The sequence below is a fragment of the Homo sapiens genome, chromosome 16 (assembly GCF_000001405.40).
Source record: "Homo sapiens chromosome 16, GRCh38.p14 Primary Assembly".
Classification (NCBI taxonomy): domain Eukaryota; kingdom Metazoa; phylum Chordata; class Mammalia; order Primates; family Hominidae; genus Homo; species Homo sapiens.
In genome coordinates, this window is record NC_000016.10 from 75471649 (window position 1) to 75497061 (window position 25413).

A 25413-nucleotide genomic window follows, 5' to 3' on the forward strand; every position below is an offset into this window, starting at 1 on the left:
CAGCTGCACCCAGCCTAGCTCTGGTTCTTAAGGAACATGGTCTGAATAGAGTCATTCACAGAATAAGGATTTGCACTGTGAGAGGATATTTAAATTGTAAGAGAATCTGCTGGGGGCAGGTGGTGCTTAAATCTAAATCCATTAACTTGTGAAGGTAGTCGGGATAACCCACTGGACCTCAGCATAGGGGTCACTCGACCTAAAGAAATTGCTCGCCTGATCCACTGGTGTGGAGTGGGCCTGTGGGTGAGGGACAGATTCCAGCCCATGGTGGTTTCAGTGTGTGATGAGTGAGATCATTCAGTAGAGGGCGCTGGGAGAACTGATGACTCGCACCGATCAGGAATATTGCATGCAATTTAGATCCAAGCGTAAAACACTAGACTACTAAAGTACTGGAAGCAAGCGTGAAGACCATTTTTATCACTGTAGCAGGACAAAGTCGTTTCAACAAGACATAAAATCCACTGGCCATAAGGAAAGGATTCACATTCAACAATATGATAAACTAGGTGAAACTTTTTGAAATTTGATTGTGATGAGGTGGTGATTTGATTTCACAGGTATATACAAATGTTTAATCAAACTTTACACTTTATGTGCAGATGTTGTATATCAATTATAGCTCAATGAAGCTTCTTTTTTTTTAAGAAGCCTGAGGGGAAAATGCCATAAAGTAAGTTAACAAAACAACAACAACAAAAAACAGATGACAAGCTAGGAGAAACCATTTGCACAACAAAAATAACAAAGCATATTCAAAAGAGGCTGTGGTAAGTCAACAGCAACATGGGCACAGCCTTGAACAATGAAAAAGGAATACAGTTGAGTCATAAGCATGAAAAGATGTTCAGCTGCCCCAGGAATTAAAGAAGTGCAGACTGAAACATCAAGTAACATTTTTCACCCATCAGGTAGGCAAAAATTAAAACCATTGATTTAACCCTGTAGAGGTGATGGGGCAGTTGTGGCAGTGGTGGGGCGCAGTCTGTAGGAGTGGGTGACAAAGGCACATCAAAGACAAAGCTAGGGGACACAGGGTCTGTGGTGGCCATGAGGAGTTGATACAGTGTTGATGTGGATAATATATCTTCTTGATGCAAAATAACAAAAATAAGGCCCACCATTGATTCCCCAACAGCCTCTTGATAGGTGGGTTCTCTGACCTATTCCAGGCAACACTGTTTCTATGCACCCATCAGCCCATCTAGTGCTTTGATTGCCCCTTCTGAGCTCCCACAGCCAGAGCAGAGGCAGCAAGCGTGCCTGCCCCTAATTGTGGGTGACTGCTGGGCCTAGACACTTCTAGCTGCATCACAGGGCCTACAGGTAAGGGGAGACACTAATTACAGCCCTACCAGCAGGGAGGGAGCCTGGACCCTGGTGGAAATTGGAAGCTGCAGGTGCCAGGAGCCCTCCGTTCTCAAGTGTATCGGTTAGGCAATGCTACGTAACAAACCACCACAACACTCAAATGACTGAAACACAATAAGCACTTTTATTGCTCCTAAAGTCTTCGACTTGGCCGCAGTGCTGGGCTCAGCTGGCCTCGCTCATATGTCTTTATAGCTACTCTTCTCAAGTGGTGGACTCAGTTTCCCCACCTCTGAATCTGGGTGAGCCCTGGGACTCCCTTTGGCCAGTAGAAGGTAGCCGAAGTGGCTGCGTGCGGATCAGCTGGAGCTGGCTGGTCTAGGATGGCCTGGTTTGGGACCCCTGAACTCTCCTTCTCATGGTCTCTGCTTGTCCAGCAGGCTGGCCTGGGCTTTCTCCCGGGCAGAGGCGGAGGTCCGAAGCAAAGGAGCAGCACGCAGGTTCTCTTCAGGTGGAGGAAAGCAGAGGCGTCAGCTCAGACTATGCCTTTTTCACATAAAAAATGATTTTCAGCTGAAGGCAATTAAGAAGCAGAAAGTGCAGGAAAAGTTCAGGTTTCCCTCCCCTTTTCTGCCTAAAGGCACGATATAAACTCTCCATCACTGGACACAACCCTTGACTCAGAGGTGGTACCAGAGGCTGCTGCAGACAAATCCTGTTGCATCAGCTTCCTCTCGGATATTTACCATCCCATAGTTTACCACCTTTGGAAGCCTAAAACTGTTGTCCTTGGTCATCCTATCTCTACAAATTTATTGTATTTTTTAAAAATGCTGTGTAAGACAGTGTTCCAAGCCATCACTTTGTTACTTTTCATTGAGGCTTATCCTGAGTGATGTTGGCTGCCTGTGTTAACAAACTGTTTTTCGCCAGGTACAGTGGCTCATGCCTGTAATCCTAGCACATTGGGAGGCCAAGGCAGGTGGATCACCTGAGGTCAGGAGTTCCAGCCCAGCCTGATCGACATGGTGAAACCCCATCTCTACTAAAAATACAAAAAAAATTAGCCGGGCGTGGTGGTGTACATCTGTAATCCCAGCTACTCGGGAGGCTGAGGCAGGAGAATCGCTTGAAACTGGGAGGCGGAGGTTGCAGTGAGCCAAGATGGCGCCACTGCACTCCAGCCTGGGGGACAAGAGCAAGACTCTGCCTCAAAAAAACAGAAACAAAAACATTGTTTTTCTTTGTGAATCTGTCTTTTCATTAAAAAGTCTCTCTTAATCTGTTTTGTTTTGCTATAACAATACCACAGATGGGGTCATTTATTTAGAGATAGGTGTCTTGCTCTGTCACTCAGGCTGGAGTGCACTGGCATGATCATGGTTCAATGTAGCCTCAACCTCCCAGGGTCAAGCAGTCCTCCCAACTCAGCCTCCCAAGTAGCTAGGACTACAGGTGCACGACACCATGCCCTGCTAATTTTTTTTTAACTTTGTAGAGATGGGGTCTCACTATGTTGCCCAGGCTGGTCTTGAGTGCCTGGTCTCAAGTGATCCTCCTGCCTCAGCCTTGCAAAGTATTGGGATTACAGGCGTGAGCCACTGAACCCAGCAAGGGTCATATATAATAAATAGAAGTGTATTGGCTTACAGTTCTGGAGGCTGGGAAGCCCAAGATCAAGGAGCCAGCATCTAGCGAGAGCCTTCTTGCTGTGTCCTAGCATGATGGAAGGCATCATATGGCAGAAGGGCAAAGTGAGGGCGAGAGAAAGACAAAGAATGAACTCCTTCATTTAAAAGGCACCACTCTCAGGATAACCAACTCACTCCTGAAATAATGGTGGTTTTTTTTAAGACAGACTCTCGCTTTGTTGCCCAGGCTGGAGTACAGTGGTGCGATCTCAGCTCACTGCAATCTCTGCCTCCTGGGTTCAAGCGATTCTCCTGTCTCAGCCTCCCAAGTAGCTGGCCTTACAGGCATGTGCCACCACACCTGGCTAATTTTTGTATTTTAACTAGAAATGGTGTTTTACCTTGTTGGCCAGGCTGGTCTCAAACTCCTGACCTCAAGTAATCCGCACACCTCAACCTCCCAAAATGCTGGGATTACAGACATGAGCTACCATGCCTGCGCCCAGAAATAATGTTCTCTACCCATTCACAAGGGCATAACCCGCACGGCGTAATTTACTTTCCATCAAGCCTCACCTCACAACACTGGGGATCAAGGTTCCAACTTTGGGAGACACAATCAAATCACAGCAGAGCCCCAGCTGAAAACCTAAGACAGGTGGAGGTAAAGTTTTGCTTCCAAGGCCTATGCTTCAAACTGGCTCACAGGAAGTTGCACTACACTTGTCTACAGGACAAAGCAAGTCACAGGACCAGCCTGGATTCAGAGGTGGAGAAACAGACTCTACTTCTTGATGGCAGGAGCCATGGTCACACAGCACAGAGTGTCAACACAGCAAACCACTAACAGTGGTCAATGCAGTCACCCCCACAGCAACCCAGAGCTCTGTGCCCTGTCACAGCATTGGGCAGTCCCCAGTGATTAAACCTTCCTGTTGGGACTGCACTCTCACAGAGATATAAGACATACGTGATCAGCACAAGTATGTACCTACCCAGCCCTGGCTTTACTGTGCCTAGTCAGCCAGGCCACTTTCTTTGTCCTGAAAGCTGACCTGGGTTCACTGTGAGGCTTGACTGTACTGCCCATGCGCAGAGAGCAAATTCAGGAGCCAGTCAAGCATGTCCTGACACCTTGGGAGTCAGGGGAGAATGGATGGGTCATACAACAAAGGACTTGGATACCAAGAGGCCATTAATTGCAGCCATCAATAAAATTTGTGACCTAAACAGGGGCAAATGAAGCTTGTTGGGCATGCTGGCTGGGCATGAGATGGAGTCTTGCTCTGTCATCCAGGCTGGAGTGCAGTGGCATTATCTCGGCTCACTGCACTGTCCGCCTCCTGGATTCAAGGGATTCTCCTGCCTCAGCCTCCTGAGTAGCTGGAATTACAGGTGTGCACCACCACACCCGGCTAATTTTTTTTATTTTTAGTAGAGATGGGGTTTCACCATGTTGGCCAGGCTGGTCTCAAACTCCTGACCTCAAGTGATCCACCTGCCTCAGCCTTCCAAAATGCTGGGATTACAGGCATGAGCCACCACGCCTGGCTTGTGGTTGAAATCTTAACCCACAATATGATGGTGTTGGGATGTGGAGCCTTTGGGAGGTGATTAGATAATGAAGGTGGAGACCTCAAGAATGGGATTAGTGACATTCTTTAAAAGGCCCTGGAGACTGGGTACAGTGGCTCATGCCTGTAATCTCAGCACTTTGGGAGGCTGAGGTGGGCAGATCACTTGAGGTCAGGAGTTTGAGACCAACCTGGCCAATATGGTGAAACCCAGTGTCTACAAAAATACAAAAATTAGCTGGGCATGGTGGTGCATCCCTGTAGTCCCAGCTCCTCAGGAGGCTGAGGCAGGAGAATTGCTTGAACTCAGGAGGCAGAGAGAGGCAGAGGTTGCAGTGAGCCGAGATTGTGCCACTGCACTCCAGCCTGGGCGACAGAGCCAGACTCCATCTCAAAAAAAAAAAAAAAAAAAAAAAAATGGCCCTGGAGAGCTGTCTCCCATCTTCTACGATAAGAGGACACAGCTAGAAGGCACTGTCTTTGAAAAAGTGGGCCCTCATCAGACAGCACTGGTGGCTTGATCTTGGACTTCCCAGTCTCCAGACTTGTGAGAAGAACATTTGTTTATAAGTTACCCAGTCTTTTTTTTTTTTTTGAGATGGAGTCTTGCTCTGTCACCCAGGCTGGAGTGCAATGGCGTGATCTTGGCTCACTGCAACCTCCGCCTCCTGGGTTCAAGCGATTCTCCTGCCTCAGCTTCCCGAGGAGCTGGGATTACAGGTATGTGCGACCATGCCTCGCTAATTTTGTATTTTTAGTAGAGGAGGGGCTTCGCCATGTTGGCCAGGCTGTTCTTGAATGCCTGACCTCAGGTGATTCATCCCCCTCGGCCTCCCACAGTGCTGGGATTACAGGCATGAGCCACTGCATCCAGCCAAGTTACCCACTCTTAAGGTATTTTGTTATAACCACCTGAACAAGAACAAAGACATTCTCTAAGCCATGTAGTACACATTCATAAATCTGGGGTTTTAAATACCTTCCTCCTATAATTGTCACGAGGGACAGATTCAAGTTTCATTTGGTTGAAGCTTCTAAACCTGGAAGGAACCTAAAATGAGCTTCAGCTTCAAGGCTAATGTGCCTGTTCTCCCTCCACGTAAAGCAGAAAATGCCAGATCTCCCTTGCCCTGCTTGCTTTGCAGGGAGGATGTGACTCCACAATCCAGGTTCCCCCAATCTGTGGCCACACCCAGGATGAGGATCAGAAGCTAGTGACCACCAGCATCGCTCCTGGTAGCTGATGGCAACGTGAGGGAAACTGCCTCATTTCACAGGTAACAGGGTCAGAAGTTCTGTTGGCAGCCAACACAGTTCCCAGACCAGCTCTGTGTTCCAATGTGACTTGGGTTCATTTATGTGGCTAACTCAACTTCCCTGTCCTTTCCAGAGGTTCCATGAGCTCTTCTTTTAAACATGTACTGGGCACTTATAGGCTCTCATTTCCTGAGCTCGGGACTAAACCCTCTACACATCCAGCATTCCTTTACTAAGCCCCTTTGCCCCCAGAGCTAGGAGGTGTGGCTCACAGGCAGGGATCATCCTCTGCTTTCCTCCAAGGCCTGGACCAGAAGGACCAAGGGAAGACAGTTCCAGCCCAGAGCCATTTCCCTTCCAACCTCTTGGCAAGCCTGATGAGTTCCACTCCCCGCTGACGGGCACACCTGCCTTCCAGGCACTGATCCTGCTTTCCCCCTCTTGCTCTGCCACTCACTGTGCCTGGCTTGCTGCCCAGCCCTCCCCAGCCTTCTCTCCTCCTACCTTTCCCACTTATTGCCTCCTTCCAGGCTTGTCCAGCATGATAAACTCTGGTCTCAGCATTCACAGCCTCCTCTATCTCTCAGCTGTGTCCCTGGTCATGACTCTGCTTGCTCTTCCCTAAAGCAATTAAAATAGGAAAATCTGACCCTTCTCACCCAGGAGGCAGGTCCTCTCCTATCCACTGGAGACCCAGAGCAAAAGCTCTCTCCTCCCTTCATCCTCCTTCTCACCATGTGATTTCAGACAAGTCCTTTCACTTCCGAGTTTTGCCATGTGTGCCTGTGTGCATATGTATGTGATGTACAGACCTCTGGAGCCATTTCACCACAGTGCCTCTCCACTCCCAGCCAGTGCCAGGGCACCCCCTCAGCTGCTGCAGGATGTGTCACCAGAAGGAGAGAGTTAAAGGGGAAGAAAGCCCTTGAGTAGGAGCCAAGTCATCTGAACGCACACCCTGTGCCCAGAGGAGGAGGGGCAAGAGTTGCTTTCCATGAAGAGTGCACCTGATGAGAAGGCAGCTCCAGAGGACTCAAAGGAAAACCAAGAATCAAGAGAGAAAGAAACGTGCAGTCCTTGCCTACTTGGGGAGGGGGAGGGGTCGTACCACAAACTCCTTGGTCAATATAGGGACCTGCTTCTCCGTGCGCCCCAGCCCCCTCTGCACCATGCACTCTCCTCCCGGGCCTAGCGCCTGCTACAACTGTGGCCTCCACTAATTTCGGGGGTGCGAGGCGGTGGATGATGCCCAAGTGAAGCCGTTCAGGCCTCGTGGCAGCACCAGATCAAGGGCGAGGTTGCGCTGCTCGTCCTCAGAGTACACAGGCCGGTAGCCCAGCAGCTGCAGCGCACCAGCGCACAGTTCCTGCACGCGGCGGATCTTGGCAAAGGGCAGCGCATGGCGCCAGGCCTGGGAGACGTTGAGCGCATTCCTGGACGAAGTCTTGAAGGCTTCGCGGCGCGCACCAGGTCCAGATCCGTGGGTGATGTTATGGATCCAGGCCTCGAGCTGTGGCGTGAGACTGAGCCCAGTGAAGGCGTAGAGCGCACGGATTTCTGCCAGCGGCTCCCGCGCCAGGTCCTCGAAGCGCACCAGGCGGTAGCGGCCGCGCAGAAAGGGTGGCGGCTTGAGTGTGGCGGCCTCGGCGATGCGTACGTGGCTACGGCACACCTCGCGCACCACGCGCAGGCCGGGGTCGGCCTCCACCCACGTGCCGTTGGTGCCCAGCACGATGCCGTTGTCACGCGCCAGAGCCTTGGCTGTCTGCTCCCGGGAGCGCAGCACGGCCCGCGGGTCGCGCACCAGGTGCACGATGCGTAGGTTGAGCGCGGGGTCGCTGAGCAGCGGGTAGAGCACCTGCAGGTTGAAGAAGCGCACCTCCTTGAGCACCACGTGGCTGTAGGAGCGGCAGGCCTCCCGGGCCAGGGTGAAGGACTGCCGCGCGCACAGTGGCTTGCACACGGCCTCGCTGCTGATGGCGCCTCGGGGAAAGGCACTGCAGGCGGGTGGCGAGCACAGTGCACGGCTCACGGCCCACTGGAAGAGGTCGGACAGGTTGCGGCGCCAAGGCAGATAGGCATCAAACACGTCCATGTCGCACAGGAAGACGGAGCGCACCAGGTCGCGCACAGCCATGTGCAGCGTTGCGGCGCTGCCCTGCGACAGGGTGGTCCACACGTGCCACGCGGGCTCCATTAGGTAGAAGACGTCGGGGTGCTGGTTGAAGAGTTGGCCCACGAAGGACGAGCCCGAGCGCCACGAGGACAGCACCAGCACATGCACGCGCGCCTCGCCGCCTGCTGGGGACGAGGGCCCTGGCCGGGAAACCAGAAAGAGGAGGAGGAAGGTCTGCGCCAGGAGGAGCGCGGTCACTGCTGTGCTGGAGACGCGCGGCAGCCACATGCTGACTGCTGGGGGCCTTAGGGAGGAGAGCGCAGCGGTTAGGGGCTGCAGCCTGCACGCCCATCCCGTACCCCACTGCCCAGTGCCCGCAGGGGGCAGATTCTACCACCAGACCCGAGCATCCCATGAACATGATGGTCTCAGTGGGGAGCTCTCCCGGAAATGTGGCCTTAAGACATAACTCAGGATCCAGTCTAGCTGAGAGCAAAAGTACAAATGCAGAATGCGGTCGGAAATCTGTCTACATGTGAGTCCTACCTTCTTAATGTGAGTCCTACCTTCTTAATGTGAGTCCTACCTTCTTAGTTCTACCTACCCACATTACCATTGTCTATTTGGAGAGGGAAATATATTTCAAACGGAATTCCTGTCTTTTGCTTAAGAATTCCTGTAAGGAAACTCTTTTAGGTTGTTGAACTGATGGGCGCTCTGGTGGATGTCACAGCACGGCCAGGCTCCCTGAGGCTCTTCCACTCCGTAGCCTGTGGTCTTTTTCCTTTTTTAATCTCCCACACTACACTGACATACATAGCCTGTGATCTTGAACAAAATATTGGATCGCCCCGTGACTCAGTTTACCCATCTGCAAAAGGGAGATGATACCAGCACATAATACAGGATTTAAGTGGATTATTGGAAAATGGGAACATGTTTGAATATCCTGGATGGACAGGAGAGACATGTAGTAATGTCCCTAACTGAAGAGTGCCCTTGCTACAGCGTGTGCTTCTGCAGTGTATGATTTTTTTTTTTTTAAATAGACAGGTATAACTTTTCTTATGGAAAATAACTTTTCTTATTGAAAATAAGCAAATAGGCGCTGGGCGTGGTGGCTCACGCCTGTAATCCCAGCACTTTGGGAGGCCGAGGTGGGTGGATCACCTGAAGTCAGAAGTTCAAGACCAGCTTGGTCAACATGGTGAAACATCATGTCTACTAAGTATACAAAAATTAGCCGGGCGTGGTAGCGGGCACCTGTAATCCCCAGCTACTCAGGAGGCTGAGGCAGGAGAATCGCTTGAACCCGGGAGGCAGAGGTTGTAGTGAGACGAGATCGCGCCATTGCACTCCAGCCTGGGCAAGAGCAAAACTTCATTCCAAAAAAAAAAAAAAAAAAAGAAAAGAAAAGAAAAGAAGCAAATAGGCAGGATGCGAGCCTGGGATTCAAGCCTGTAATCCCAGCACTTTAGGAGGCTGAGGTGGGAGGATACCTTGAGGCGAAAAGTTTGAGACCAGCCTGGGCAACATATGGATAGCCTGCCTGTCTCTACAAAAACATTAAAAAAAACAAAAAAAGGAAAGCCAGGTGTGGTGGAGTGCGCCTGTGGTCCCTGCTATTCGGGAGGCTGAGGTGGGAGGACTGCTTGAGCCCAGGAGTTTGAGGTTGCAGTGAGCTTTGATCATGCCACTGCACTCCAGCTTGGGCGATAGAGTGAGACTCTGACTCAAAACATACAGTACAATATCAAAATGAGCAAATAAGTCCAGGCACAGTGGCTCATGCCTGTAATCCTAGCAATTTGGGAGGTTGAGGTGGGCAGATCACCTGAAGTCAGGAGTTCGACACCAACCTGGCCAACATGGTAAAACCCCATCTCTACCAAAAAAAATACAAAAATTAGCTGGGCATGGTGGTGCATGTCTGTAGTCTCAGCTAGTTGGTAGGCTGAGACGTGAAAATCGCTTGAACCCGGGAGGCAGAGGTTGCAGTGAGCTGAGATTATGCCACTGCACTCCAGCCTGGGCAATAGAGTGAGACTCTTTCTCAAAAACAAAAAAATGAGCCAATAAATAAAGTGGACAAAGAACACCAATTGTTGCCATCACCGGTAGGGGGTGAAGTGCTGAAGGCAGCATGGGCTCCAGAGGGAGGATGTCCTGGAGCCCTGTGGGTTTGCAAGGAGACCAGCTGAGGCGGAGCTGGGATGGAGCCAGAGAAGCAGAGAGGTGAGAGCAGAGGACTGTCCCGGCCAGCTGAGGGGACTCACCACTGTCCAGGGCTGCTGGGAGAGCTGCAACGCTGATCACAAATCCATGGGAGATGATTAGAGGTTCCTCAGCACCTGGTAAAGCAGGAGGGCGATGGAGTCACACTCTACAGGGGAAGATAGCCCCAAAAGCGACACAACTTCTCTGAGGCTCGATTTCCACTTCTGTAGGATGGGATGTGCAACATTTAACCTCTTAGGGCTGTGAGATGCTGCTGCAAACACCTATGAAGAGGGGGCCTGGGAAAGCATTCCTTACACACATGCCCCCATTACTGTTACTGTCCCTGTGCTGAGCTACTGTTTGGAGAGGAGGAACCCCTCCCCCTGGGGAGTCTCCCCCCAGAGGAGACACCCACAGGCCACCTACTCTTCCAATCCCAGTATCTCACAGGCCACCCTCTGGCCTCCAACCACCAGCCCTTTCGTGGACCTTAAGAATGTCACATAGGTCGGGTATGGAGGTTCATGCTGGTAATCCCAGCACTTTGGGAGGCCAAGGCAGGCAGATCACCTGAGGTTGGGAGTTTGAGACCAGCCTGACCAACATGGAGAAACCCTATCTCTCCTAAAAATACAAAATTAGCCAGGCGTTGTGGCACATGCCTGTACTAGGGAGGCTGAGGCAGGAAAATCACTTGAACCTGGGAAGCAGAGGTTGTGGTGAGCCGAGATCATGCCACTGCACTCCAGCCTGGGCAACAAGGGGGAAACTCCGTCTCAAAACAGCAACAACAACAAAAATGTCACACATGTCTCACAGGGTGGAAGGAACACTGAGCCAGCTTCCCGCATTCCAAGGTCCCAAAGTGTTCTTCTGTTTGCACCTGTTGCATCTGCAATGATCTCAAGGCTGGGTGACTTTGGAAGGGAGGAGCCTGGAAGTTTTCTCCTTGCTCCTGCATCCTTTGCTCCTTGCCTGCCCCCTTCCCCTGTCCACATCGCCCACTGAGAGAAGCCAGGGTCTAACTTGTGAGCAGATCTCCTCTCTGCCCATTTCCCTCATCAGGAGGCAACAGGGGTGGGTGGAGGATGCCCAGCAGCTCTGTCACCAGCCGACTCCAGATCCCACAGCCACTCTGGGAAAACCTGGAAGACAGGGAGAGTAGCCACTCATCTGCTCTGCACATGATCAACGCTCCTCCAGTGCCAGTGGGCTGACGATGGTTGGCTTCCTGCCAATGGGGCGCCGAAAGAGAAGGGAACTCATTTTCTGACTTCAATGATCACAAGTGCTAGGTGCTTCAAGTCCACGCGATGACTTAACTCAACGGGCCCTGAGGTGGGCACGATGATGTCAATTTTTCAGGTGAAAGACTCAAGGCTTGGAGAGACAGCGAGAAAGCTGGGACCCCAGGACTCCTGTTCCTAAGCTTCTGGCACTTCTGATCCCAGGCTGTGGGCTTCTCCCACCTGTGATTGCTCCCTGCAGAGTGCAGGACCCTGCTGCTCTGGCCCAAACACAGTTGTCCTGGCCAGCTCAGCCCTTCCCTGGGTAGGGAGGATCTTGATCCCAAGCCAAGGTATTTGTTACCTGTGTTCCAGGGAAGCCAGAGGTCTTCTTAAGTGACTCACACACTACAGGAACTGCTATGAGATCCTATTACTGAAACTCAAGAACTAGGAAGGTGGTTGAATCATCCTACGCCACAGAGTCTCCAGAAGACCAGTTCCTAGCTGAGAGCATTCTGATAGGAGCCTTACGTTCAGCACAGTAGACATTTGGGCCAAGGTTTTGACATTAGGAAGAACAAGTCAGGCAGGCCCTGTGATAGGTACTTCTGTCTTCATGATTAAATGCTATCATCCCAAGTCCCTGGGAGGCAGAAATGACCATACCTCTCTGTTTTAATTGAAGCAGTGGGGCTCAGAGACATGAATATCCAGTAAGAAGGAGGAAGGGCAGGGGCTTAAATCCAAGAGCCAGCCGGGTACGGTAACTCATGCCTGTAATTAGGGCACTTTGGGAGGCTGAGGCGGGTGAATTGCTTGGGCCCAGAAGCTCAAGACCAGCCTGGGCAACATGGCCAAACCCCATCTCTACTAAAAATACAAAAATTAGCCCAGTGCAGTGGCGCGGACCTGTAGTCCCAACTACTCAGGAGGCTGAGGTGGGAGGATTGCTTGAGCCTAGGAGGCACAGGTTGCAGTGAGCAGAGACTGTGTGACTGCACTCCAGCCTGGAAAACGGAGAAAGACCCTGTCTCAAAAATAAATAAATAATAAATAAATAAATAGGCCGGGTGTGCGGTGACTCACGCCTGTAAACCCAGCACTTCGGGAGGCTGAGGCGGGTGGATCACCTAAGGTCAGGAATTTGAGACTAGCCTGACCAACATGGTGAAACCCCGTCTCTACTAAAAATATAAAAATAGCCAGGCATGATGGCAGGCACCTGTAGTCCCAGCTACTCGGGAGGCTGAGGCAGGAGAATTGCTTGAATCCAGGAGGTGGAGGTTGCAGTGAGCCAAGATCACACCACTGCACTCCAGCCTGGGTGACAGAGCGAGACTCCGTCTCAAAAAGTAAATAAATAAATAAACAAACAAACATACATAAATACATCGAAGAACCAGACTCTCACTGCAGGGCTCTGTGGTGGGTGTCGCAGTCCTGAGCCTTTGTCCAGTGCCCTTTCCCATCCTGGAAGGCCTATCTCCCCCTTGAAAGTCTTCCCTTGATGAGGGGCACATATTTATTATATGTTTACTTTTTGGAAAAGTTAACACATAGGTGTTGTATAAAATTCTAAGCCACGCATGGTGGCTCACGCCTGTAATCCCAGCACTTTGGGAGGCTGAGGCGGGCAGATCACTAGAGGTCAGTAGATCGAGACCAGCCTGACCAACATGACAAAACCCTACTAAAAATACAAAAATTAGCCGGGTGTGGTGGTGAGTGCCTGTAGTCCCAGGTACTTGGGAAGCTGAGGCAGGAGAATCATTTGAACCCGGGAGATGGAGGTTGCAGTGAGCTGAGATTGCGCCACTGTACTCCAGCCTGGGCGACAGAGCGAGACTCCATCTCAAAAACAAAACAAACAAACAAAAAAACTCAAGGTAAAGATGAGGGCATTGCCAGCTCATGTTTCATATGTGAAGACAGGAAAAGAGGCCACACCCCCTGGGCAGACACAGCCCCACACCAGAGCACAAGGCCAGTCAGGCAGAAGAAAGTGACGTTTCCTATCTCTCATGCCCTCTCCAGCCTTCCAACCTCAGAGGCAATTCTGCTTTAAATTTCCAACAAGTAATTAATGGTGATGATGGTGATGATGATGATGAAAATGATCATATTTTTTCAGGAGGAGGGTGGAACTAAAAAGTACAAGAGGCCATAAAGGGAATAGAAAGTTCTGTTTCTTGTTTTGGTACCCAGGAGGAGCACCCTAAGCAGTGGTCCTTCTTAAGTCACAGAAACTTTTTTTGACATTAACTCTTTTTAAAATTTATTTTTGTCAAAACACTACACATAGCTTGAGAAAGGATAAAATATGCCTGGAGGCCAGGCACGGTGGCTCGTGCCTGTAATCCTAGCACTTTGGGAGGCCAAGGTGGGAGGATCTCTTGAGCCCAGGAGTTCAAGGTTGCAGTGAGTTATATCATTCTACTGCTCACCAGCTTGGGCAACAGAGTGTGACCCTCTTTCTTAAAAAAAATCAAAAACCTAAAACCAGAGCAAAACACTCCAGCTCACAGCTGAAGCTCACAGCTCACAGCTGAAGTACTGAGAGTACATTTCCTTTCTTGTTTTTTCTTGTTTCCCTTAGTTTTCCTTGGGGCTAATTGCATTAGATATTAGAAACGTTGAAAGAAAAATTTAAAAGATGTGAAAAGTAGAACAAAAAACATAAATGACAGATAAAGGTTGGAAAATAGAGAAGAGATAAGATCAGCAAAAGATTCATCCAGGAAAGCCAGTGCTCAGGATCCCGATCCTGGCAGAGCTGACAATCAAGTTGGGGACACTGAAGACACATCTGGCTATGTGACGGTCAAGGGACCTGATGGTGTCCCAGTGGATGGCCTGGACATCCAGCCGCGGGAGGGTCATGCTGGTCCTGGCTGCATCCTTATCTCCTGGATTCCAGCAAAGTCCCCACCTGGCCTCCCTTCAGTCCATCTTGTACAGTTGCCCCCAGAGGTGCCTACACCACACATCTGATCCTGTCATTCTCCTTTTCAGTAACCTTCAGCTTTCCAGCCTTATCTCCCATATCCCAGGCTTCAGATGGCCGGGAATAATCAGTGTTCATCAAACAAGCTCCATCTCTCCCAACTCCCTCACCCATGCTATGAGTGCGCAGCCCTGACTCCCACTGGGAGGCATTTCAGCCTCGCCTGCAGCCACCTCCTCTGTGCCTGTCAAGGCATGCCCCACTCTGCCCTGCATTGTACTTTGCTTTCCCTTCTTGCCTGTGAGCAACCCGGAACTTTGGATTGTGGTTTTTCGCAAGCGAACACCTGTTCTCCGGTGACTAGTGTGAGGATCAGCACTGCACAGGTGCACTGGACATGCTTGGTTCTGTCCACTCAGTACCCGTTTTTCCTTCTGATAACAGTCTCTAGGCTTTTCCCTGGGGAATCACCCTCACCCACTCAAAAGTGCATGTGGCTCAGATGGGGCTGATCCACCACTCCCGGCTCCTAAGGGTCATGTGTCCCAAGACAGACCCACCTCTATATTCCACACACTGACCCTGCCCCCCCAGCCCACACAGAACTATTGGCCTAGGAATGGGACATCTGCTCAACTGCAATTCTGGAGTTTTGTTGATCACAAGGGAAGAGGAAACTGCCTAGGTTTAAAATCAACAACAGAAGAGAACTCAGCAGAGAAAGTTCACAGGCAAGCTGACAGCACCATCTAAGCATTTGGATCCAGTTGTGCAAGGCTTACCCATGGACCCCTCAGCTGAGGGAAGCATTCACTTTCTGCTTAAGTCCTTGGGAGATGAGTTTCTGTCACTTACACCCAAGAGTGGTGATTAGATAGTGACAGTGAAACCCTTGGTGGGGTGAGGTGGGAAGGGTGCAGGGGCAGAGCTTCTGGGGGCTGGCCCTGCGTTGTTTCTCTCTGACAGTGCTAATTACATGGGTGTGTTCAGTTTGTGAAAGTTCACCAAGCTGTACTTTCATTATATGTACTCTGAAGAATGGCATACTTCAATAAAAAGTAAAGAATCCTGACTGAAGAAGATAGTAAGAGTCATGTCAAGGAATGTCCCAAACAACAAATGAGTAGAGGACATGAACAAATACTTGCCATTGCACTCAGATACTCTGTGGTCCACATCCAGAGGGAGGAATTCCCCAGTAGCCCACATGGCTTTCTGCCGAGCACCTTAAAGTCACAGGATCTTCTAAACATCCCTTACCATTTCTTGGCCTGGCCTGAGAGACCTAGGAAGGAGCTATGGTTCTGCCTGATTTGCAAATAGGAAAAGCAAGACATTGACCAAGGATGGTTTTCCATAGCAGGGTTGAGCTGGAGCCCAGGAGTCCTGGCTCTCTGGGCAGCACTCACTTCCAGCCAAGCTCTGCCTACCCTCGACACAGCAGCTCCAGGCCGGGAGTGGTGGCTCACACCTGTAATACCAGCATTTTGGGAGGCTGAGGCAGGTGGCTCACCTGAGGTCAGGAGTTTGGGACAAGCCTGACCAACACGGTGAAACCCCATCTCTACTAAAAATACAAAAATTTGGCCAGGCGTGGTGGCTCACGCCTGTAATCATAGCACTTGGGAGGCTGAGTAGGGTGGATCACAAGGTCAAGAGATCGACATCTTCTTGGCTAACACAGTGAAACCCTGTCTCTACTAAAAATACAAAAAATTAGCCGGGCGTGGTGGCGGGCACCTGTAGTCCCAGCTACTCAGGAGGCTGAGGTGGGAGAATGGCGTGAATCTGGGAGGCAGAGCTTGCAGTGAGCTGAGATCGTGCCACTGCACTCCAGCCTGGGTGACAGACAGAGTGAGACTCCGTCCCCCCTAAAAAAAAAAAAAAAAAAAAAAAGAGAAAAAATACAAAAATTAGCCAGGTGTGGTGGTGGGCACCTGTAATCCCAGCTACTCGGGAGGCGGAGTCAGGAGAATCGCTGGAACCCAGGAGGCAGAGGTTGCAGTGAGCTCAGATCATGCCACTGCACTCTAGCCTGGCAACAGAGTAACACTCCACCTCAAAAAACAAACAAACAAACAAAACCAAAACAACAACAAGACACAGCAGCTCTTCTTGTTACCAGCCTGTTCCAGCCCTGTTCATAGAATCTAAGGGAACAAAATGTAACACTAGGTATAGATCCCAGGTTTAGATTTCTCTGTTTAGAGTTGGCTGGAGGTCATCCCTGTTCGAGAATCCCAAAGCCACCTGGGCACGGTGGCTCATGTCTATAATCCCAGCACTTTGGGAGGCCGAGGCAGGTGGATCACCTGAGGTCAGGAGTTTGAGACCAGCCTGGCCAACATGGTGAAACCTCGTCTCTACTAAAAATACAAAAATTAGCCACCATGGTGGCAGGTGCCTATTTGTAACCCCAGCTACTCCAGAGGCTGAGGCAGGAGAATTGTTTGAGTCTGGGAGGTGGAGGTTGCAGTGAGCAGAGATCATGAGCCATTGCATTCCAGCCTGGGCAACAAGAGCAAAGCCCCGTCACAAGGAGAAAAAAAAAAAAAAAAGAATCCCAAAGGCTGGAAAAAACATACCCAATGAGGAGTCAGTGGCCTTGAGGCATCAAGAGCTACAACTGGGGCCAAACTGCTCTAGTGGAGCCCTGGGCATTTGGAAGGGGGAAGGCTAACAAGGAGCAAAAGAAAGAGGAAGAAAGAAGAGAGAAGAAAACAGAAAATGAGACAAAACATAAAGCAGGGAACATAAAACATAAAACAGGCCAGGTGCGGTGGCTCATGCCTGTAATCCCAGCACTTTGGGAGGCCAAGGTGGGTGGATCACATGAGGTCTGTAATGGGAGGCTGAGGCAGGAGAATCGCTTGAACCCGGGAGGTGGAGGTTGCAGTGAGCCTAGATCACGCCATTGCACTCCAGCCTGGGCAACAAGAGTGAAACTTCGTCTCAAAGAAAAACAAAACCAAAAACAAAACATAAAACATAAAGATGGAAGGTGAGTGTTCATGGGGGGCAGGAACAAGGAACCCCTGCAAACATCATCTATGAGGGTTTCCTACATGCCCAGTCTTTCCCATCCATTTTCTGATTTGATCCTCACAGCAACCCTATGACATGGACCTGATGATCATCCCTATTTTATAGATGAGGAAAGTGAGGTGTAGAAAAATTAAGGGAGGCAGGGCATGGTGACTGATGCCTGTAATCACAGCACTTTGGGAGGCCGAGGCGGGCGGATTACCTGAGGTCAGGAGTTCAAGACCAGCCTGGACAACATGACGAAACCCCAACTGTACTAAAAATACAAAAATTAGCTAGGCGTGGTGGTGCATGCCTGTAATCCCAGCTACTCGTGAAGATGAGGCAGAAGAATCGCTTGAGCCCAGGAGGCGGAGGTTGCAGTGAGCCGAGATTGTGCCACTGCACTCCAGCCTGGGCAACAAAGCAAGACTCTGTCTCAAAAAAAAAAAAAAAAAAAAAGAAAAAAGAAAAGGGACTTGCGGGAAGAATTCACACAGTGGCTGCTGAGTCAGAGTTGGAAGTCTAGCAGTGTAACCTTGGAGCTCTTCGCTACATAGTGTCAAGTGGAAAACAGAAGTAACAAAGCTGACATACATATATACATTTCTCCCATCTGTGTGTGTTCTTAGATGTGCATGTATTTTTCACACAGTTGGCTGGGTGTTAAAAATACACGAATATCAAAGAACACTCACAGATGGGAGAAAACAGTTGCAAATCATGTCTACAGAATGGGACTTGTACCCAGAATATAAGAAGAGCTCTTACAACTCAACACAAAATAGGCAAATATCCTATTTAGTTTTTTAAGAATAAGCATATTTAAGAAATATAAGAATAAATAAATTTAAGAATGAATAAAGAAAAAAATTAAAATGAGTAAAGGATTTGGGAGAAGTTTCTCTGAAGAAGATACACAAATGGAAAGATGCTCAACCAGGCGCAGTGGCCCATGCCTGTAATCCCAGCACTTTGGGAGGCCGAGGTGTGTGGATCACCTGAGGTCAGGAGTTCGAGACCAGCCTGGCCAACATGGTGAAACCCCGTCTCTACTAAAAATACCAAAAACTAGCCAGGCGTGGTGGCAGGCACCTGTAATCCCAGCTACTCGGCGGGGAGGGAGAATCGCTTGAACCCGGGAGGCAGAGGTTGCAGTGAGCCAAGGTTGTGCCATTGCATTCTAGCCTGGGGAACAAGAGCGAGACTTTGCCTCAAAAAAAAAAAAAAAAAAAAAAAGGCCGGGCACAGTGGCTCACGCCTGTAATCCCAGCACTTTGGGAGGCCAAGGCTGGTGGATCACCTGAGGTCGGGAGTTCGAGACCAGCCTGACCAACATGGAGAAATTCCGTCTCTACTAAGAATACAAAATTAGCCAGGCATGGTGGCGCATGCCTGTAAACCCAGCTACTCGGGAGGCTGAGGCAGGAGAATCACTTGAACCTGGGAGGCAGAGGTTGTGGTGAGCCGAGATCGCACCATTGCACTCCAGCCTGGGCAACAAGAGTGAAACTCCGTCTCAAAAAAAAAGGAAAGATGCTTAACATTTTTAGGCAGCGGGGAAATGCAAATTAAACCACAGTGACAAGTCACTTTCCATCCACCAAGAAGGTTACAATCTTAAAAAGGTAATTATAATAAATAATATATAATTACAAGTGTTGGTGAGATGACAGAGACGTGGGGATCCTCATAAAATGGGGATGTCAGATGGTGCATTTCCTGAAGAAACAATTTGGTGGTTTCTCGAAAGGTTGAATAGAGTGACCATATGATACAGCAGATCCACTCCTGGGTACACACCCTAGAGAACTGAACATACAAGCCCACATGAAAACCTGCTCATGAATTTGCACAGCAGCATTATTCGTAATAGCCAAAAAGTGGAGACATCCCTAATGTCTATCAGCTGATGAATAGATAAACAAAATGTGGTGTAACCACACAGTAGACAATTATCTGCAATAAAAAAGAATAAAGTACTGATATATACAAAGTTCAATGTGAAAACACTGAATATACTATAAGCCAGTGAACTGTACACTTTTAAAATATAAACTTTGGGCCGGACGCAGTGGCTCACGCATGTAATCCCAGCACTTTGGATTAAATGGGTGGATCACCTGAGGTCAGGAAGGCAGAGTTTGCAGTGAGCTGAAATCAAGCCACTGCACTCCAGCTTGGGTGACAAGAGTGAAACTCCGTCTTAAAAAAAAAAAAAAAAAAAAAAAAAATATATATATATATATATATATATATATAAAATATAATATACTTATATATAATATATATAAACTTTAACATACATGAATTCTATCTCAATAAAGCCATTATTTAAAAAAATACAAAGTATGGGAGATGCACACTGAAGTTTGGTGTTTATTTTTCTATGGCCAGTTTACAGGTAATTTTTTTTTATTTTTATTTTTTGAGACGGAGTCTTGCTCTGTCGCCTAGGCTGGAGTGCAGTGGCACGATCTCGGCTTACTGCAAACTCTGCCTCCCAGGTTCATGCCATTCTCCTGCCTCAGCCTCCTGAGTAGCTGGGACTACAGGTGCCCGACGCCACGCCTGGCTAATTTTTTGTATTTTTTAGTAGAGACCGGGTTTCACCGTGTTAGCCAGGATGGTCTCGATCTCCTGACCTCGTGATCCGCCTGCCTCAGTCTCCCAAAGTGCTGGGATTACAGGCGTGAGCCACCGTGCCCGGCTGGTAATTTATTTTCTTATTAGTGCTTTGCTGCATTTTCCAGATAGTCTACATCAGACTTTTACTACAATGATAAAATCAGAAATTTCTAGTTGGTTAAAGGAGGCTTAGGTGGAGTTTGTCTTTGTCCAGCTATCACTGCAGAGAGACAGGTGCCTGCAAAACCATCTCCCAGCTGACCTGAGTACCCAGTTAGCCAGAGAAGTCCAGGGGCATGAATTACCCGCTCTGCACTAAAAGGTGTCAGAGCTCCCATGCACACTCTCAACACCAGGACTGTGGGCTGGGCCAGGCTGTGGCTGAAGCTGTGCCTGGCCCCCAAGCCCTGGCCACATCTGCCAACTCTGCCAGTCCTGGTGATGCAGCTGCATGGCATCCCCCAGAGGCAGGGGGCTGGGACTGCAAGGCCCAGATGCTGATGGAGAAAACAGATCTGCCTTCAAAATCTACTGGGAAATGAATTCTAATTAGCCTGGGAAAGGAGCCTCAAGCCTCCCTGGCTCAGAGCCACTGCCCTGGGGCATTTCAGAGCAGATAAGCAGATAGCAACACACAAACCCTTTTCCTTGGCTGGGAGCTTTAGGGATTCTCACAGGGCACTTCAAACAGCACCTGCCTTGGTCTAAATTGTAGTACCTTACAGCTGGAGGCCATAAAGTCTGAGGGTTCCCCACTTCTTCTGTGCAGCAACACACACAGGGTACGGAGTGGGACTGTGCTTTTAGCACATTTGCCTGTTTCCCTAAGTATTGACAGAGCCCTCTCATTACAGAGATAATCTGGAATGTTCCCTGGTTTATTAACCATTTATTTTAATTACCTTATTTTTTAAAAGTAAATCATACTTCCAAATCTATGACAGAAAAAGGAAGAGACTATTTTATAGGAAAATAACTCAGGGCCGGGCGCGGTGGCTCACGCCTGTAATCCCAGCACTCTGGGAGGCCAAGACAGGCAGATCACCTTAGGTCAGGAGTTGGAGACCAGCCTGGCCAAACATGGTGAAACCCTGTCTTTACTAAATACACAAAAAGTAGCCAGGTGTGGTGGCACGTGCTTGTAATCCTAGCTACCCAGGAGGCTGAGGCAGGAGAATCACTGGAGCCAGGAGTCCGAAGCTGCAGTGAGCTGAGATCACGCCACTGCACTCCAGTCTGGGCGACAGAGAGAGACTCCATCTCAAACAAAAACAAAAACAAAAACCAAAACCAAAAAACACATAGTCAAATGCAACATGTGGACCTTGTGTGGATTCTGATTTGAAAAAAACATCTGCCAGGAGATACCCTAGAGGTAATCAGATATATTTCAATATTGACTAATAGGTGATAGTGAGAAATTATTATTAATACTATTATCACTACCCAGAACAATCTTGTTCATGTATTTCTGGACCCATTTCCCCGCCCAAGACACTAGAAGCAGAATGGTGTCTGTCTCATTAAAGACAGTAGGTATAGAGCACTGAGGTTAAGAGTGTGAATCCCACTTGACCATTTACTGAGCGATCTTGTGCAAGTTACTTCCTTCTGTGCCTGCTTGGTTAAAAAAAAATCTGGAAGGTCAGGTGCGGTGGCTCACACCTGTAATCCCAGCACTTTGCGAGGCTGAGGAGGGCGGATCACGAGGTCAGGAGTTTGAGACCAGCCTGACCAACATAGTGAAACCCCATCTTTACTAAAAATACAAAAATTAGCCGGGCGTGGTGGCGGGTGCCTGTAATCCCAGCTACTCAGGAATTTGAGGCAGGAGAATCGCTTGAACCTGGGATGCGGAGAGGTTGCAGTGAGCCGAGATTATGTCACTTTCACTGCACTCCAGCCTCGGTGACAGAGCGAGACTCCGTATCAAAAAAAAAAAAAAAAATCTGTAAAGTGGGGGAAACAATATAACCCAACTCATGGGCTTGATTGAAAGAGTGAGTGAGTGGATATTTGTAAAGCAGAACAAAGTCTGGCGCATAGTGCACTTATGAGTATTTGCTTAGCAATCTTCCTTCCTGGGCCACACTTATATTCTATGAATCCAAGGGAAAGTCTTTGAATGAGGAAAACCCAAGGACAATGGCTCTACCAGATTCAGGTGCCCCAGTGCCCCAGCAACAGAATGTGGCAGGCACAGACAGGGTCCCCACAAGGGCAAACAAAACAGAAGACGCTGGAAAGTCATGGCTAGAGGCCTGGCTTGTGTTTTTTCTGAGATGGAGTCTCGCTGTTGTCCAGACTGGAGTGAAGTACCGCAATCTCAGCTCACTGCAACCTCCGCCTCCTGGGTTCAAGTGATTCTTCTGCCTCAGCCTCCCAAGTAGCTGGGATTACAGGCACTCACCACCATGCCCAGCTTATTTTTGTATTTTTAGTAGAGATGGGGTTTCACCATGTTGGCCAGGCTGGTCTTGAACTCCTGACCTCAGGTGATCCACCTGCCTCGGCCTCCCAAAGTGCTGGGATTACAGGCGTGAACCACTGCGACTGGCCTTAGAAGCTTGGCTTCTGAAGCCGGATTGGGTTCAAATCCTGTCTCTACTACCAGTGAGGGGTGTGACTTAGAGCAAGTCACTCTCTGGCTCTCTATACTCCAGTTGACTCTGTTTGTAGAACAAAGCCAGAAAAGTTCCGGCCTCTCAGGCTGGAGAGGAGCCCAGCCCCAGCTCCCGGAGCAGCATAGCACCCTCAGAGGCCCTGGTACTTGGCCTACTCGCTTGTGGGTTTAAGTCAGCCAACTCCTTTCTGCTCTTCAGGCCTCAGTTTTCCCATCCTCAAAAATGGGAAACTTGACTGCCTTGCCTCTGTGAAAAAGGGAGGAGAAAGGAAAGTCAACATTTGCTAGGCACCTGTCCTGAGGCCCAGAGGGCCTGTCCTGAAGCCCAAGATGAAGCCGTCAGAAGCAGTGACGCAGGACTCCAATTCCCCTGGGTCTGGTTCCAAATCAACCCGCCAAGCTACCGTCTCTCAATAATTCTATGGAAAAAGCCCTTGGAGAGCTTTTGAAAGTCATGTCCTTTGAAACTCAAGTATCGAGACAAAAGGGGTTCTCCCCTCGCAGTGAGGATTCTCCTGCGCAGCCGAAGCCCCAGCAAGACACTTCCAAACCGGCGCCAACAGCGGCGATGCCCTTTCCACGTTGCTGATGGAAAAGCCACTCCCAGCTCTTCCCGCCACCCCAGGTCCCCGGTGCAGGACAGAGGAGCGTCCCCAGCTGTGCCACCAGCCCGGCCCCCAGCCGACCCGAGTGTGGGGACATCCCCCGCGGAGAATGAAGAACCAACGTACCCCAAAGCTTGGCGGCTCTGCCCGAGCTGCAGCGGCACGGTGGGGGACGCCTCTCTCCCTGGACTCAGCAAAGGCTCCCAAACGTCGTCTCTTCCAAATTCCACCGCACAGCCAGCTCTTTCTCTTCACTGGGAGGGTCCGCAGGGGCTGACTTGCTCCTTAAGGTCCCAAGACTATTAAGCGACACCCGGTGAGGCCGGGAAAGGGGCTCTAAGAGGCATGGACGAGAGTTGGCGGTGACCAAGCCACTGGAAGCTCCTGGAGACTCGAGGTAGAACGAATGTGGGAACAGGGCAGGAGTCCCAGAATGGGATGTTGAGGCTGGGGGTGTCCTGGGGCTACCACAGGGAAGGACCCGGCGCAGAGCTCCCTCTGGAACCCGGCACTGCGGCCCGCGCCCTCTACTCCCCGCGCGCCGGCCGGCAACCCTCGGCGCTGCCCGGTGCAGCCCGCCCGAGCGCACACAATGAGGCGCTTTCAGACGTGGCTGCGGTCCCGAGGTGGCCAGCGGGAGCTAGCGCCGTGGGGGAAGGAAGGAGCCGGTTGGCCCACCCCCGACCGAGGGGCCACGCCTCGGGGGAGGGGCGCCGGCCGAGGGCGGGGCAGGAGGGCCCAGGTGGGCTGGGGCTCTGAGAGGCTCAACTTTTAGCCCAGAATGTCAAAGGGCGCTGGCAGAGTCACCTCTCATCTGACTACAGAGGAACGTTGTACCCCACCCCACCCCAAATCCCCAGAGAAGGGGGGCTCCTGGGAGGACAAAGGCCCTAGTGAAGGAAGTCGAATCTTAATCTTGACCCTCCTCACTCTCGGGGGCATCCTTGCGGCGAGGTGACTTGGAATCCAAACCCTTCCCAAGGCCACGGCACCTGGATGACACATGGACCCGGTGCAGTGTCCCAACTGGGAAGAGCGGAGAGACCAGGTGGCCTTAGGAGCTGGGTCCGCAGCTTTTCCCCTCCTCCTGCGCATTCCCTGCCCTAGCCTAGGCCCAGAGGCGCAGGTTCATAGCAGGTCCAGATAAAGACATGATACGTTTCAATAAATAAGATATTTCCGGCCAGGGCTGGGCGCGGTGGCTCACGCCTGTAATCCCAGCACTTTGGGAGGCCGAGGCGGGCGGATCACGAGGTCAGGAGATCGAAATCATCCTGGCTAACACAGTGAAACCCCGTCTCTACTAAAAATACAAAAAAATTAGCCAGGCCTGGTGGCGGGCACCTGTAGTCCCAGCTACTCGGGAGGCTGAGGCAGGAGAATGGCGTGAACCCGGGAGGCGGAGCTTGCAGTGAGCCGAGATCGCACCACTGCACTCCAGCCTGGGCGACAAAGCGAGACTCCCTCGCAAAAAAAAAAAAAAAAAATCCGGCCAGGCGCGGTGTCTCACGCCTGTAATCCCAGCACTTTGGGGGGCCGTAGTGGGTGGATCACGAGGTCAGGAGTTCGAGACCAGCCTGGCCAACAGGGTGAAACCCCGTCTCTACTAAAAATACAAAAATTAGCCGGGCGTGGTGGCAGGCACCTGTAATCCTAGCTACTCAGGAGGCTAAGGCAGGAGAACTGCTTGAGCCCAGGAAGCGGAGGTTGCAGTGAGCTGAGATTGCACCACTGCACTCCAGCCTGGGCGACAGAGCGAAACTGTTTCAAAAAAAAAAAAAAAAAAAATCCCCTTTACAAATAACAGGGCAGAGCCCAGGCACCTGAAAAGGATGAAGCATTTCTAGGTCTTGTCAAATTAGTGATGGGATCTTAATCAAGAACTCCCTGCTGCTGGGAGAAGAAATAAGCAGTCCTTCCTGGTTGTGGTTTGGCAAGATGAATTAAGATTCTTGACAATGGTCGTAAGCTTTTCGGATTGGTAATTCCTTTCTAGGAGCTATCTTAAGGAAATAAACCAGAAACAAGGATTTATGTACAGGGTTCATATAAGTGTTGTTCATGATTTTGATACTGATTTTTTTTTCAGATGGAGTCTCACTTTTGTAGCCCAGGCTGGAGTGCAATGGCAGGATCTAGGCTCACTGCAACCTCCGCCTCTCGAGTTCAAGTGATTCTCTTGCCTCAGCCTCCTGAATAGCTGGGATTACAGGTGCCCACCACCACGCCAGGCTAATTTTTGTACTTT

At 50.2% G+C, this 25413-nt stretch overlaps 1 protein-coding gene across 3 annotated transcripts, besides 5 other annotated features; it reads right to left on the bottom strand.

Moving 5' to 3' along the window:
- Positions 1 to 643: an enhancer, noted in NCBI's record as "NANOG-H3K27ac-H3K4me1 hESC enhancer chr16:75505547-75506189 (GRCh37/hg19 assembly coordinates)". NCBI's record gives its function as "activates a minimal SCP1, AML or CMV promoter by ChIP-STARR-seq in primed H9 embryonic stem cells {active_cell/tissue: H9 hESC(primed)}" and the evidence as "EXISTENCE:reporter gene assay evidence [ECO:0000049][PMID:30033119]".
- Positions 394 to 23793, bottom strand: CHST6 (carbohydrate sulfotransferase 6). 3 transcript variants are annotated; one of them, NR_163480.1, is made up of 4 exons: positions 23292 to 23793; positions 18966 to 19121; positions 10169 to 10243; positions 394 to 1819 (listed from the first exon to the last, which is right to left on the bottom strand). NR_163480.1 is itself a non-coding variant. In NM_021615.5 (3 exons), exon 3 carries the CDS (start codon positions 8178 to 8180, stop codon positions 6993 to 6995), a length of 1188 nt encoding a protein of 395 aa, NP_067628.1. In that variant the 5' UTR covers positions 8181 to 8196; positions 10169 to 10243; positions 23292 to 23793; the 3' UTR covers positions 404 to 6992. The 3 variants fall into 3 exon arrangements, 1 of the variants encoding a protein (NP_067628.1); NR_163481.1 differs by lacking the exon at positions 18966 to 19121; NM_021615.5 differs by lacking the exon at positions 18966 to 19121 and having other exon boundaries at positions 404 to 8196.
- Positions 14478 to 14637: an enhancer, noted in NCBI's record as "active region_11132". NCBI's record gives its function as "activates an Ori minimal core promoter by ATAC-STARR-seq in GM12878 lymphoblastoid cells {active_cell/tissue: GM12878}" and the evidence as "EXISTENCE:reporter gene assay evidence [ECO:0000049][PMID:35858748]".
- Positions 15318 to 15397: an enhancer, noted in NCBI's record as "active region_11133". NCBI's record gives its function as "activates an Ori minimal core promoter by ATAC-STARR-seq in GM12878 lymphoblastoid cells {active_cell/tissue: GM12878}" and the evidence as "EXISTENCE:reporter gene assay evidence [ECO:0000049][PMID:35858748]".
- Positions 23187 to 23366: an enhancer, noted in NCBI's record as "active region_11134". NCBI's record gives its function as "activates an Ori minimal core promoter by ATAC-STARR-seq in GM12878 lymphoblastoid cells {active_cell/tissue: GM12878}" and the evidence as "EXISTENCE:reporter gene assay evidence [ECO:0000049][PMID:35858748]".
- Positions 23667 to 23996: a silencer, noted in NCBI's record as "silent region_7721". NCBI's record gives its function as "represses an Ori minimal core promoter by ATAC-STARR-seq in GM12878 lymphoblastoid cells {active_cell/tissue: GM12878}" and the evidence as "EXISTENCE:reporter gene assay evidence [ECO:0000049][PMID:35858748]".